The following is a 15,572-nucleotide window of genomic DNA, read 5'->3' as shown; positions in this document are numbered from 1 at the left end:
AGTGGAGCTGTGAGAAGAAGGCCACTGTTCGCCAGACCCCAGAATGGTAGATCCACTGACAGCTTGCACTGTGCACCGGGAAGAGCCACAGACACTCAATGCCAGTCTGTGAAAGGAGCCGGGGGGGGGTGGCTATATATGCTGCAAAGCCACACAGGTGGAGCTCTCCAAGGCCATGGGAACCCACCTCTTGCATCAGCACAACCTGGATGTGAGACATGGAGTCAAAGGTCATTTTGGAGCTTTAAGATTTGACTGCCAGCTGGGCACGGTGGCTCACACCTGTAATCCCAGCACTTTGGGAGGCCGAGGCAGCTGGATCACCTGAGGTCAGGAGTTCGAGACCAGCCGGCCAAGATGGTGAAACCCCCAACTCTACTAAAAACACAAAAAAATGGCTGGGCGCGGTGGCTCACACCTGTAATCCCAGCACTTCAGGAGGCTGAGACAGGTGGGTCACCTGAGGTCAGGAGTCCAAGACCAGGCTGGCCAACATGGCAAAACCCTGTCTCTACTAAAAATACAAAAATTAGCCAGGCATGGTGGCGCGTGCCTGTAATCCCACCTACTAAAGGAGCTGAGCCAGGAGGATCACTTGGACCCGGGAGGCGGAGGTTGCAGTGAGCCAAGATCGTGCCACTGCACTCCAGCCTGGGCAACAGAGCGAGACTCCATCTCAAAAAAAAAAAAATTAGCCAGGCGTGGTGGCAAGCATCTGTAATCCCAGCTACTCAGGAGGCTGAGGCAGGAGAATCGCTTGAACTAGGCGGGTGGAGGTTGCAGTGAGCCAAGATCGCACCACTGCACCACTCCAGCCTGGGCAACAGAGCGAGACTCCATCTCAAAAAAAAAAAAAAAAAAGGAAAAATGTAAAAGATAATAATAAAAGGAAATCATTCAAACACACAATAAGGAAGATGAAATATAGAACATGTAAATATGAAATGTTCCAAATTAAAATTGAATGAAAAGTAAAAATCACAATTGATTACAACTACATAAAACTGTATATACTGATAAAGATTAGAAAACAATAAAAGAAAAACAGTTCCTCTGGGAGTTTGATGAGATTATAAATATTTGGTATCGCATGATGTTTTATGACCTTTTAGTCATTTTGATATAATTTTGTTTAGATAGCCACCTATGTCAGGGCATTAAAATATGATTCAATTTTCAAAAGTAGGACACACCAACTAGTTACATTTAATTATTTACACTAGCTTTCTTAGGACACCATCTGTAATCCATACTACTGAATTCCATCATTTCTGAATTCTTACTACTACTCACTCTTAAGCTAGAATGGCAGCAGACAAATAATAGATACCTCCATTGCTGTGGTAGAAATTTATGGATAAGAACATTTAAGAAGGACAGATGCAATACCTCACGCCTGTAATCCCAGCACTTTGAAAGGCCAAGGCAGGAAGATCACTTGAGCCCACGAGTTTGAGACCAGCCTGGGCAACACTGCAAGACCCTGTCTTTACAAAAAGTTTAAAAATTAGCTGGGCATGGTGGTGCGCACCTGTGGTCCAGCTACTCAGGAAGCTGAGATGGGAGAATTGCTTGAGCCCAACAGGTAGAGGCTGTAGGGAGCTGTGTTCTCAACACTGCACACCAGCCTGGGCAAGAGAGAGACTCTGTGTCAAAAAACAAAAACAAATGAAAAGAATATTTAACAAGGTGATATTACATTTTATTTATTTTATTTTTATTTTTATTTTTTTTGAAAGTCTCGCTCTGTCGCCTAGGAGTACAGTGGCATGATCTCAGTTCACTGCAGCCTCAGCAGACTGGGCTCAAGTAATCCTTCCACCTCAGCCTCCTGAGTAGCTGGGATTATGGGTGCGCACTACCATACCCAGCTAATTTATTTTTATTTTTTGTAGAGGCGGGGTTTCGCCATGTAGGCTGGTCTCGAATTCCTGGGCTCAAGTGATTGGCCCACCTCGGCCTCCTAAAGTGTTGGGATTACAGGTGTGAGCCATGACACCCAGCCTGACGTTATATTTTAATGAAGAAGACTAATTCAGGTTTCAGTAAATTTTTTGTTTGTTTTTTGAGATGGAGTCTCACTCTGTCGCCTAGGCTGGAGTGCAGTGGCACGATCTCAGCTCACTGCAACCTCTGCCTCCCGGGTTCACGCCATTCTCCTGCCTCAGCCTCTCAAGTAGCTGGGACTACAGGCACCTGCCACCATGCCTGGCTAATTTTTGTTTTTTTCAGTAGAGACGAGGTTTCACTGTGTTAGCCAGGATGGTCTCGATCTCCTGACCTCGTGATCCGCCCGCCTTGGCCTCCCAAAATGCTGGGATTACAGGCGTGAGCCACCACGCGCAGCCCCTCAGTAACTGTTTTAAGCATGATTTAGGAAGCAAATTATTTGTTTAAAGGAAATATACAACTTCACAATACAAAGAATTGTGCTAAAAACTCTATCAGAAATATAAATTCATTGTGTAAATCTAATATCCCTGAAAAAATGTCAATTAAAGTAACAATTATACTGTAAATTTTAAAATAATTATGCAATTTTTTTTTTTTTTTGAGATGGAGTTTCACTCTCGTTGCCCAGGCTGGAGTGCAATGGTGCAATTTTGGCTCACCACAACCTCCACCTCCCGGGTTCAAGAGATTCTCCTGCCTCAGCCTCCCCAGTAGCTGGGATTACAGGTGTGCGCCACCACACCCACCTAATTTTGTATTTTTAGTAGAGACAGGGTTTCTCCATGTGGGTCAAGCTGGTCTCTAACTCCCGACCTCAGGTGGTCTGGCTGCCTTGGCCTCCCAAAGTGCTGGGATCACAGGTGTGAGCCACCACACCCGGCACATAATTATGCAATTCTAATCATGTCATAGTAAGTGTGAAATCTCTAAGGACAGATGGATTTCTATTTATTTACGTGTACACAGTACATTTTTACTTGTACTAATGGCAATCATTTAAAATAGCAAGCTCTCAAAAAGCATTAAAAGCAATTGCTTCTGATGGGAAAAGTTCAGCCCTTTGACTGTCAGCCACTTCAAGAACCTCCGGGACAGAGGTTCAACCTTTATCCTTCACCTAGAGAAATTTTATTATAAAAAGAAAAGTTTACAACACTAGCTTAAAGTTTTTTAAAAAGTACCACTTAAAAAATAAAATGTTGGCCAGGCACGGTGGCTCACACCTGTAATCCCAGCACTTTGGGAGGCTGAGGCAGGTGGAACACGAGGTTAGGAGTTCGAGACCAGCCTGGCCAAGACAGTGAAACCCTGTCTCTACTAAAAATACAAAAATTAGCCAGGGGCAGTGGCGGGCGCCTGTAATCCCAGCTACTTGGGAGGCTGAGGCAGGAGAATTGCTTGAACCCGGGAGGCAGAGGTTGCAGTGAGCTGAGAACGTGCCACTGCACTCTAACCTGGGTGACAAAATGAAATGTCCAGCATTATCTCCAGAGAAGTTAAGAAAAAAGAAATGGAGCCAGGTGCAGAAGCTCATGCCTGTAATCTTAGCACTTGGGAGGCCAAAGCAGGCAGATTGCCTGAGCTCAGGAGTTCAAGACCAGCCTGGGCAACATGGTGAAGCCCCGTCTCTACTAAAAAAATTAGCTGGGTGTGGTGGCATGCGTCTGTAGTCCCAGCTACTTGGGAGGCTGAGGCAGGAGAATTGCTTGAACCCAGGAGGTGGAGGTTGCAATGAGCCAAGATGGTGCCACTGCACTCCCACCTGACGAGAGCGAGACTGTCTCAAAGAAAAGCAAACAAATAAAGAAATGGAATAATAAAAAACATTACAAAAGTTGAAATAGTTAAATTAAATAAATGAGGTGTAGACTGGGTGTGGTGGCTCACACCTGTAATCCCAACACTTTGGGAGGCCAAGGTGAGCGGATCACTTGAGGTCCGGAGTTCAAGACCAGCCTGGCCAATGTGGCAAATCCTGATCTCTACGAAAAATAAAAAAATTAGCCAGGTATGGTGGCGCGGGCCTGTTCGAGTACTTCCAGCTCCTCGGAGGCTGAGGCAGGAGAATCGACTGAGCCCAGAAGGTGAAGGTTGCAGTGAGCCAAGATCATATCACTACACTCCAGCCTGGGCAGAAGAGCAAGGCTCTGCCTCAATCAATCAATCAATCAATCAGTAAGTGTAGAAATAAACCAATCTGATCAATTTATAAAAATACATTCCAAAAATAAGTTCCTCAACTGGTACAATGGATTGTCTTTAGTCAGTTTATCAAAAAATCAATTCTTGTTTCTTCGAACATTCTTGAAAATGCATAACTGCACATTTCTTTGGGGAAAAAAATCCGGAAATAAACCACTGTTAAAAAAACAGTATTTTCCATCCCACAACTAGTGGATCTTCACTTAACAGTTCCTTTAAAATGTTTATATATAGGCCAGGCGCCATGGCTCGTGCCTGTAATCCCAGCACTTTGGGAGGCCAAGGTGGGGTGGATCACCTGAGAACAAGAGTTCGAGACCAGCCTGGCCAACATGGTGAAAACCCATCTCCACTAAAAGTATAAAAATGAGCTCGGCGCAGTGGCGCGTGCCTGTAGTCCCAGCTACTCGGGAGGCTGAGACTCAAGAAATGCTTGAACCCAGGAGGTGGAGGATGCAGTGAGCCAAAATGGGACCACTACACTCCAGCCTGGGTGACACAGCAAGATTCTTGTCTCAAAAATAAATAAATAAAAATAAGAATAAATAAATTAAATGTTTGTATAAATGAAGATATCTAAGGGATTTTAATTTTCATATAAAGCTGTAGTGGAGTATCATTATTATCATGCTCACCTCTTCTCAGAACTAGACTGGAAATCCACTTTGTTGTTGCTTGTCATCATTTCAGGTTTGTTTCTTGTTTTTTTGTTTTGTTTTGTTTTGTTTTTTGACGGAGTCTCGTTCTGTCGCCCAGGCTGGAGTGCAGTGGCATGATCTCGGTTCACTGCAAGCTCCACCTCCTGAGTTCACGCCATTCCCCTGCCTCAGCCTCCTAAGTAGCTGGGACTACAGGCACCCGCCACCACACCCAGCTAATATTTTGTATTTTTAGCAGAGATGGGGTTTCACCATGTTAGCCAGGATGGGCTCGATCTCCTGACCTCGTGATCCACCCGCCTCAGCCTCCCGAAATGCTGGGATTACAGACGTGAGCCACCCAACCCAGCCAGTTTGTTTGTTTTTTGAGACGAAGTCTCGCTCTGTCACCCAGGCTGAAGTGCAATGGCACAATCTCGGCTCACTGCAACCTCTGCTTCCCAGGTTCAAGCAATTCTGCCACCTCAGCCTCCAGAGTAGCTGGGACTACAGGCATCCGCCAACATACCTAGCTAATTTTTGTATTTTTAGTAGAACCAGGGTTTCACCATATTGGTCAGGCTGATCTTGAACTCCTGACCTCATGATCCACCCACCTTGGCCTTCCAAAGTGCTGGGATTACAGGCGTGAGCCACCGTGCCTGGCCTTTTTTTTTTTTTTTTTTTTTTTTTTTAGATGGAGTCTTGCTCTGTCGTCCAGGCTGGAGTGCAGCGGGGCGATCCCAGCTCACTGCAACCTCCGCCTCCTGGGTTCAAGCAATTCTCTGCCTCAGCCTCCCAAGTAGCTGGGATTACAGGTGCCTGCCACCATGCCCAACTAATTTTTTTGTATTTTTAGTAGAGATGGGGTTTCACCATCTTGGCCAGGCTGGTCTTGAACTTCTGACCTTGTGAGTGAACTGCCTCAGCCTCCCAAAGTGCTGGGATTACAGGTGTGAGCCACCGTGCCTGGCCCAATTAATGTTTTTTATACAAGCATTATAGTTATCTTTATTATAAATTAAGAATAGAAAATATTTTTTTTTTTTTTTTTTGGTGACAGAGTCTTGCTCTGTTGCCCAGAGCTGGAGTGCAAATGGTGGAATCTCTGCTCACTGCAACCTCCGCCTCCTGGGTTCAAGCAATGCTCCTGCCTCAGTCTCCCAAGTAGCTGGGATTACAGGCGTGTGCCACCATGCCCGGCTAATTTTTGTATTTTTTAGCAGAGACAGGGTTTCATCATGTTGGCCAGAATGGTCTCCAACTCCTGACCTCAGGCGATCCGCCCGCCTTGGCTTCCCAAAGTGCTGGGATTACAGGCATGAGGCACCCCACCCAGCCAGGAATATTAAATCTTAAAGCTAAGAAAAACCTCTGGTAATTATAGACCTCTAAGAAAACGACCATTACCAATACAAATATGAAATACACTGAAGGCTTTTGTTAATGTCTATGTGTATATAATACATACATACATATTCATGTATTCTTTCACATTTGCCAGTTGTTGAAAATTAAAAAACAGAATATACACAGATAAAAAATGAATTAAAATTTGCTATCTGGTGAAAAGTTTATTTAGCAGCTTAAAGAGAGATGAAGAAAGGGTGAATTGGACGATAAAGAAATGTCGGCCGGGCGTGGTGGCTCATGCCCGTAATCCCAGCACTTTGGGAGGCTGAGGAGGGCGGATCACGAGGTCAGGAGATCGAGACCATCCTGGCCAACATGGTGAAACCCTGTCTCTACTAAAATTTCAAAAATTAGCCGGGCTGGTGGCATGCGCCTGTAATCCCAGCTACTCGGGAGGCTGAAGCAGAAGAATTGCTTGAACCCGGCAGTCGGAGGTTGCAGTGAGCCAAGATCGCCATTGAACTCCAGCCTGGTGACAGAACAAGACTCATCTCAAAAAAAAAAAAAAAAAAAAAGAAATGTCAACCAGGTGTGGTGGCTCACGCCTGTAATCCTAGCACTTTGGGAGGCCGAGGCAGGCGGATCATGAGGTCAGATGATCAAGACCATCCTGGCTAACAGAGTGAAACCCCATCTCTACTAAAAATACGAAAAAAAAAGTTAGCCAGGCATGGTGGCACGTGCCTCTAGTCCCAGCTACTCGGAAGGCTGAGACAGAAGAATCGCTTGAACCCAGGAGGCGGAGGTTGCAGTAGCCGAGATCGTGCCGCTGCACTCTAGCCTGGACAGAGCGAGACTCCGTCTCAAAAAAAAAAAAGAAAAAAAGAAATGTCACAGAGGGCTTCACAGACAGATAAATGGAGATAAACTAGGAAAATGATAGTGAGATATGGAGGAACAGACAGGATCATGTACGTCTTCTATAAACAGCATAATGTGCAATTGATTGTAGCACAAAGTAGAGTTAAGTAGAGAAGATGAGGAGAGTATTCAAAGATAAAATATTAAATAATTTTTCCAGAGTAAACAAATGAATTATTAAATTCAGGAAGCCAAACAATCCCCATTGTGGATGTGTAAAACATAAATTTTATTTGTTTTGGATGTGCAAAACACTTATTTTGGCTGCTTTTTAGAATTTCTCTGGCTTGGTGGCTGTTTCACTAAGATGTGTTTAAGTTTGAAACACCACCAAAGACGGAGAATCTCTAAAAAGCAGCCAAGCCGGCCTGGGGCTCACGCCTGTAATCCCAGCACTTTGAGAGGCCAAGGCGGGCAGATTGCCTGAGCTCAGGAGTTTGAGATCAGCCTGGGAAACAGGGTGAAACCCCGTCTCTACTAAAATACAAAAAACTAGCCGGGCGTGGCAGCGTGCGCCTATAGTCCCAGCTCCTTGAGAGGCTGAGGCAGGAGAATTGCTTGAACCCGGGAGGCAGAGGTTACAGTGAGCCAAAATCATGCCATTACACTCCAGCCTGGGCAACAGAGTGAGACTCCATCTCAAAAAAATAAGGCAGCCAAAATAAACTGTATCATTATGATGGAACACTTAGTAGAATGACAACAGACTGCTCAACAATTGTAAGTGAAAGTATAACACAATAGACTAATATTTGTGAAGTATCGAAAAAATGTAACTGCCAATAGAGGGCTGCAGGTGCTTTGGAAATATCTTTCAAATAGAATAAAATGAGTTGGGCGCCGTGGCTCACACCCATAATCCCAGCACTTTGGGAGGCCGAGGCGGGCGATCACCTGAGGTCCAGAGTTTGAGACCAGCCTGGCCAACACGGCAAAACCTCATCTCTACTAAAAATACAAAAATTAGCCGGGCATGGTGGTGTGCACCTGTAATCCCAGCTACTCGGGAGGCTGAGGCAGAATCGCTTGAACCGGGAAGGTGGAGGTTGCAGTGAGCCAAGATCATGCCACTGCACTCCAGCCTTAGAGAGAGAGTGAGACTCTGTCCCAAAAAAAAAAAAAAAAAAAAAAAAAAAAAAAAAGAATAAAATGAAAAAAAATACTTTTGTTTTTTGCTTCTGGAAATGGAAAGAATGGCATAACGGGTTATTCTTTTTTGTGTATATTTTTTTTTTTTTGAGATGGAGTCTCACTCTATTGCCCAAGCTGGAGCGCAGTGGTGCGATCTCAGCTCACTGCAACCTCTGCCTCCCGGGTTCAAGCGATTCTCCTGCCTCAGCCTCCTGAGTAGCTGGACTACAGGCGCATGCCACCATGCCCAAATAATTTTTGTATTATTAGTAGAGGCAGGGTTTCACCATGTTGGCCAGGCTAGTCTCGAACTCCTGACTTCGTGATCTGCTCACATCAGCCTCCCAAAGTGCTGGCATAACAGGTGTGAGCCACCGCGCCCAGCCCTAACAGGTTATTCTTACAGGCTTATTAGTACTATTTGATAACCACACATATAAATTAGATACATATACTTTTATATATAAAGTCCTTATTACAATTTACTATAACCACCATAAGCCAAAGATAATACCTTGGGGTGAGGAAAGATGTTGCTCTTGCAGCTTCTCTTGAGAGAGGAGTCCCAAGTAGCTGAGAACAACATACTTTGTTTCATAGTGAAATCCCAGAGGCACAGTAGAAGAGGACGCCATTGAATTGGCTGGTGAGGCTCCAAAAAGGTCTACTTATGGATGTGTAAAACCTAAGAACAAAAAAGTAATTTTTTCAGTTTAAAGTTTATTACATGCCACTTTAACAGTTGTTTCACACCAAAATGTCTTGTGCAACTCTTTTGAGGTAGAGTCTTGCTCTTGTCGCTCAGGCAGGAGTGCAGTGGCGCAATCTCAGCTCACCACAACCTCTGCCTCCTGGGTTCAAGCCACTGCACTCCAGCCTGGCGACAGAGCAAGACTCCCTCTCAAAGAAAAAAAAAAAAAAGTACTGCACATACAATTACATGCAGTACATAATACTTGATAATACTAGATGACTTACTGGTTTATGTATTTACTACACTTTTTATTGTTAGAGTATACTCCTGCTTATTTAAAAAAAAAAAAAAAGTGAACTGTAAAGCCTCAGGGCAGGTGGTCCTCCAGGAGGGATTCCAGAAGGCATTGTTACTGGAAATGTCAACTCCATGGGTGTTACTGCCTCTGAAGACTGTCCAGTGGGACAAGATGTGGAGGTAGAAGACAGTGATATTAATAATCCTGACTCTGTGTAGGCCTGGGCTAATGAGTCTGTTTGTGTCTTAGTTTTTAGGAAAACAGTTTAAAAGGAAAAGGAAAAAAAAAAGAAAATTTAAAAACAGAAAAAAGCTTATAAAATAAGGATACAGGCAATGCATGGTGGCTCACGCATGTAATCCCAGAACTTTAGAAGGCCGAGGTGGGAGGACTGCTTGAGTCCAGCAGTTCAAGACCAGCCTGGGCAATATAGCAAGACTCCATCTCTACAAAAAAATTTAAAACATTAGCTGGGCGTGGTAGGGCCTGCCTATGGTCCCAGTTACTCAGGAAGCTGAGGCGGGAGGATTGCTTGAGCCCAGGAGGTCAAGACTGCAGTGAGTTATAATTGCACCACTGCACACCAGCCTGGGAAACAGGGCAAGACCCTGTCTTAAAAAAAGAGAAGACAGGCCAGGTGCGGTGGCTCACACCTGTAATCCTAGCACTTTGGGAGGCCGAGGCGGGCGGATCACGAGGTCAGGAGATCGAGACCATCCTGGCTAACAGAGTGAAACCCCGTCTCTACTAAAAATACAAAAAAAATTAGCCGGGCGTGATGGCGGGCACCTGTAGTCCCAGCTACTCGGGAGGCTGAGGCAGGAGAATGGCATAAACCCGGAAGGCGGAGTTTACAATGAGCCGAGATCACGCCACTGCACTCCAGCCTGGGCGACAGAGCGAGACTCCATCTCAAAAAAAAACAGAAGAAAAAAAAAGAGAGAAGACAAAAAGCTAGGTGTGCTGGCTCATACCCATAATCCCAGCACTTTGGGAGGCGGAGGCAGAGGCAGGTTGATTGCTTGAAACCGGCCTGACAACATGGTAACATGGTAAAACCTTGTCTCTAAATAAATGTTAAAAATTAGCCAGGCATCTGGTGCACACCTATAATGCCAGCTACTCAGAAGCTGAGATGGGATAACTGCTTGAGCCCAGGAGGTAGAGGCTGCAGTGAGCCATGATCACGCCACTGCACTCCAGCCTGGGTGACAGAGCAAGACCCTGTCTCAATAACAAAAACAAAAAGAAATAGAAGATAAAGTTTTCTGATAATTTTTTTGTGTTCATTCAACACACATTTATTAAGCTGCAAGGTACTCTATAGGCATTAGACATGAAGACAAACATGATAAATCACCAGACCTCAGGAGTTTTCATAGGAAACCAAAAATACTTATAACAAAAATACAGACTGGAAAAAGAGGCAATGTCGGCAAAATTTAACATCTGTGATAAGCAAACTAAGATAAATATCCTAGAATGATAAACAATTTTTAAAAATAGAAAAAGAATTTCAAATATACAAAATAAAATGGCTATAGATATAAGTGGTTGGCACAGTGGCTCATGCTTATAATTCCAACACTTTGGAAGGACAAGGGAGGAGGATCACTTGACACCAGGAATTCAAGACCAGACTGGACAACACAGTGAGACCCTGTCTCTACAAAAAATGAAATTAGCCCTGGGTGTGGTGGCATGCGCCTGTAGTCCTAGTTACTTGGGAGGCTGATAAGGCAGGAGGATCACTTGAGCCCAGGAGCTTGAGGTTACAAGGAGCTATGATCACATACCAATGCACTGCAGCCTGAGTGACAAAGCAAGACCCTGTCTCAAAAAAAAAAAAAAAAAAAAAATCATACTGGAGGTGGTAAGGAAGACAGACTGAAGAGTAGACGCAAGGAGACAAGTTACGAGAATATGGAAAAACCTCAGCAAGAGATGTAAGAAGGCATGAACTAGCATAGGAACAGAACACTGAAAAGGGAAGGATGGATAGGAAAAAGGTTAGGAATTCAAAGATCTATTGGTTAACTCAATGAGAGAGTGACCCAGGAAGCTGTAAGGTAAGTGGTATTACTCCTATTTCTTAAATCAGATAATATAGGAAGAGTCGGTTTTGGGAAGGATAAGGAAATCACTTTAGGGTATACAGACAGTCCCCGACTTAACGACAGTTTGGCTTACAATTTTTTCACTTTATGATGGCAGTGCAAACAGAATATGCATTCAGTAGAAACTGAACTTCAAGTATCCATACGACCACTCTGTTTTTTCTCTTTTTTTTGAGACTGAGTCTCACTCTGTCCCCCAGGCTGGAGTGCAGTGGCGCGATCTCGGCTCACTGCAAGCTCCGCCTCCTGGGTTCACGCCATTCTCCTGCCTCAGCCTCCCGAGTAGCTGGGACTACAGGTGCCCGCCACCACGCCCGGCTAATTTTTTGTATTTTTTAGTAGAGACAGGGTTTCACCGTGTTAGCCAGGATGGTCTCGATCTCCTGACCTCGTGATTCACCCACCTCGGCCTCCCAAAGTGCTGGGATTACAGGCTTGAGCCACCGCGCCTGGCCTCACTCTGTTTTTTCACTTTCAATATGGTATTCAAGAAATCTGATGGCCGGGCACGATGGCTCATGTCTGTAACTCCACACTTTTGGAGGCTGAGGCGGGTGGATTACCTGAGGCCAGGAGTTCAAGATCAGCCTGGCCAACATGGCAAAACCCCATCTCTACTAAAAATACAAAAATTAGCCAGTCATGGTGACATGCACCTGTAGTCCCAGCTACTTGGGAGGCTGAGACAGGAGAATTGCTTGAACCCAGGAGGAAGAGGTTGAAATGAGCCGAGATCACACCACTGCACTCCAGCTTGGGCAACAAGAACAAGACTCAGTCTCAAAAAAAAGAAATTTGATAAGATAGTCAACACTTTACATAAAATAGTTGTTATATTTCATGATTTTACACAACTGCAGGCTAATGTGTTTTAAGCACACTTAAATGTGCTTAATGTGTGGCTGGGAACAGTGGTTCACATCTGTAATCCTAGCACTTTGGGAGGTCAAGGCAGAGGGATCACTTGAGCTTAGGAGTTTGAGACAAGCCTGGGCAACATGGCGAAATCCCATTTCTACAAAAAATTTAAAAAAAATTTTTTGCTTAATGTGTTTTAAGCACAGGCTAAGCTATGTTTGGTAGGTGTATTAAATGCATTTTCAACATATGATATTTTCCACCTATGATGAGTTTCTCAGAATGTAACCCCACCATAAGTTGAGGAGCATCTGCACTGAATTTTCAAGTACCTACAGGTCATCCAGGTAGTGATACAGAACAAGCAGTTGGATATAAAGGTCTTTAAGAAGTCAGGGGTGGTGGCTCACACCTGTAATCCCAGCATTTTGGGAGGCCAAGGCAGGTGGATCACGCAATCAGGAAATCCAGACCATCCTGGCTAGCACAGTGAAGCCCTGTCTCTACTAAAAACAGAAAAAATTAGCCGGGCGTGGTGGCAGGCGCCTGTAGTCCCAGCTGCTCAGGAGGCTGAGGCAGGAGAATCACTTGAACCCGGGAGGCGGAGCTTGCAGTGAGCCGAGATCGCGCCACTGCACTCCAGCCTGGGCGACAGAGTGAGACTCCGTCTCAAAAAAAAGTCTTTAAGAAAGGTCTAGGCTGGACGCAGTGGCTCACGCCTGTAATCCCAGCACTTTGGGGAGCCTGAGGCAGGTAGATCATATGAGGTCAGGAGTTCGAGACCAGCCTGGCCAACATGGTGAAAACCCGTCTCTACTAAAAATACAAAAATTAGCCGGGCACAGTGGCAGGCACCTGTAATCCCAGCTACTCGGGAGGCGGAGGCAGGAAAATCAATTGAACCTGGGAGGCGGAGCTTGCAGTAAGCTGAGATCGGTCATTGCACTCCAGCCTGGGCAACAGAGTAAGACTCCGTCTCAAATAAATAAATAAATAAATAAATAAATAAATAGGTCTAGGCTGGAGATACAAAATTCTAAGTATTCTGTATAAGTCAATCAAATTACCTAAGAAGACTGAATGGCCCAGCGCCATGGCTCACGCCTATAATCCTAGCACTTTGGGAGGCCAAGGCGGGTAGATCACGAGGTCAGGAGTTCAAGACCATCCTGGCCAACATGGTGAAACCCTGTCTCTACTAAAAATACAAAAATTAGCTGGGCATGGTAGCGCATGCCTGTAATCCCAGCTACTCGGAAGACTGAGGCAGGAGAATTGCTTGAACCGGGACTTGGGAGGCAGAGGTTGCAGTGAGCCGAGATCGCGCCACTGCACTCCAGCCTGAGTTACAGAGCAAGACTCCGTCTCAAAAAAAAAAAAAAAAAAAAGGAGTGAATGGACGACGAGGTGCGGTGGCTCACACCTGTAATCCCAACACTTTGGGAAGCAGAGGCAAGAGGACTGCTTGAGGCCAGGGGTTCAAGATAGCCTGAAAGAAAATAAAATTAACTGGGCATGGTGGCACATGCCTGTAGTCCCAGTTACTTGGGAGGCCGAGATGGGAGGATAGCTTGAGCCCAGGAAGTTGAGGCTGCAGTGAGCCTGGACTGCACCACTGCACTCCAGCCTGGGTGACAGAGCAAGATCCTATCTTTTAAAAAAAACCAATGTGAATGAACAGTGATTTTCAATGGGAGGGGTGTGTCAAAATGTCAGAGGGACTATAGTTTGTAAAAGAATATTCAATATACTTTCAGACTTGGAAAAGGAAAATCACCTATTATTTTTAGACTACAGACTATAGAAGGTAAGGCTCAGTAAATTTTCAGTCTTCTTTGCAGCAGTGATTCTCAGTGCTGGGACAAGAAGGAAAAATAACGTGCCTCCCACCGCCAATGCCACCAGAATAGGAGCCACAGAAATTTTTATTTACCTTATTTTTAATAAAGGAGACATAGGCTACAAAACATGTTCAAAAATACTGGTATAATCTTAAAAAGAACACATTAGAATCCACTAACATTTAAGGGGTAGTCAAAAGATGAGAAGCTGGAAGAGGAACCCTTTCAGTCCAGATTGAAACAGAAAGGTAGAAAGAAAACCAGGAAAGACTGTAATCACAGAAGTCAGGGAGGCACTTCAATAAGAAGGCAGTGAACAACTGTGTCAAACGTAGTAACATGTCAAGAAGAATGAAAATAAGAAGAGTCAGCCGGGCGCAGTGGCTCATGCCTGTAATCCCAGCACTTTGGGAGGCTGAGACGGGCAGATCACCTGAGGTCAGGAGTTCGAGACCAGCCTGGCCAACATGGTGAAACCCCATCTCTTCAAAACTATGAAAATTAGCTGGGCATGATGGCAGGCGCCTGTAATCCCAGCTACTCAGGAGGCTGAGGCAGGAGAATCGCTCAGAGCAGGGAGGCGGAGGCTGCAGTGGGCCAAGATTACGCATTGCACTCCAACTTGGACGACAGAGCAAAGCTCCATCTCAAAAAAAAAAAAAAAAAAGAAAAGAAAAAAAAGAGGGGAGAATAGATAAAATTAATAACAATCTAAGCTTTTGGAAGTCTCTTCAGCGGCCAGGCACAGTGGCTCACGCCTGTAATCCCAGCACTTTGGGAGGCCGAGGCGGGTGCATCACCTAAGGTCAGGAGTTTAAGACCAGCCTGGCCAACATGGTGAAACCCGGTCTCTACTAAAAATACAAAAATTAGCCAGACATGGTGGCAGGTGCCTGTAATCCCAGCTACTCAGGAGGCTGAGGCAGGAGAATCACTTGAACCCGGGAGGCAGAGGTTGCAGTGAGCCAAGATCGTGCCACTGCCCTACAGCCTGGGCGACAGAGCAAGACTTCGTCTCAAAAAAAAAAGTCTCTTTAGCAACAACCCTCTTTTGCTAGAAAATAAAAAAGTCTCAGTATTTCTTTGGTAGCAGGAAGAAGAAAGTATTTACATTTTGAATAAATGCTTTAAATTAAAAAATTGGCCCGGCGTGATGGCTCACGCCTGTAATCCCAACACTTTGGGAGGCCGAGGCAGGCGGATCACCTGAGGTCAGGAGTTCCAGACCAGCCTGGGCAACCTGGTGAAACCCCGTCCCTACTAAAATACAAAAATTAGCCAGGCATGGTGGCGTGCGCCTATAATACCAGCCACTCCGGAGGCTGAGGCAAGAGAATTGATTGAGCCTGGGAGGCAGAAGTTGCAGTGAGCCGAAATCATACCTGCACTCCAGCCTGCGTGACAGAGCTAGACTCCGTCTCCCAAAAAAAAAAAAAATTGAGCCGGGCACAAGTTCATGCCCATAATCCCAACAATGTGGGGGGCTGAGGCAGGAAGCAAGCTTGACCCCAGGAGATTGAGGCTGCAGTGAGCCTGTGATAATACCACTGCACTCCAGCCTGAGCG

At 45.2% G+C, this 15,572-nt stretch overlaps 1 protein-coding gene across 25 annotated transcripts in view; it reads right to left on the bottom strand.

Annotated features, from left to right (window-relative positions):
* The window catches only part of BCL2L13 (BCL2 like 13), a 101,979-nt gene that overhangs the window by 66,311 nt on the left and 20,096 nt on the right, over positions 1–15,572 (bottom strand). For 15 of the 25 annotated variants that reach the window (NR_073069.1, XM_047441287.1, XM_047441291.1 and 12 more), the window contains one exon: positions 8,713–8,883. The exons of 7 other annotated variants lie outside the window; for them this stretch is intronic. Coding sequence is in view for 12 of the 18 variants with exons in the window: in XM_047441287.1 (XP_047297243.1) it covers positions 8,713–8,833 (121 nt within the window). In the remaining 6 variants the exon portion in view is untranslated. Of the gene's footprint in view, positions 1–1,531; positions 1,647–8,712; positions 8,884–15,572 lie in introns of those variants that run through there. 3 more of the 25 variants (NR_073068.1, XM_047441288.1, XM_047441289.1) reach the window with 1 other exon arrangement.

Source organism: Homo sapiens, chromosome 22 (genome assembly GCF_000001405.40).
Source record: "Homo sapiens chromosome 22, GRCh38.p14 Primary Assembly".
Lineage (NCBI taxonomy): Eukaryota > Metazoa > Chordata > Mammalia > Primates > Hominidae > Homo > Homo sapiens.
Note: the sequence above shows the minus strand (reverse complement) of the source record. Positions and strands in the feature narration are given on the sequence as shown.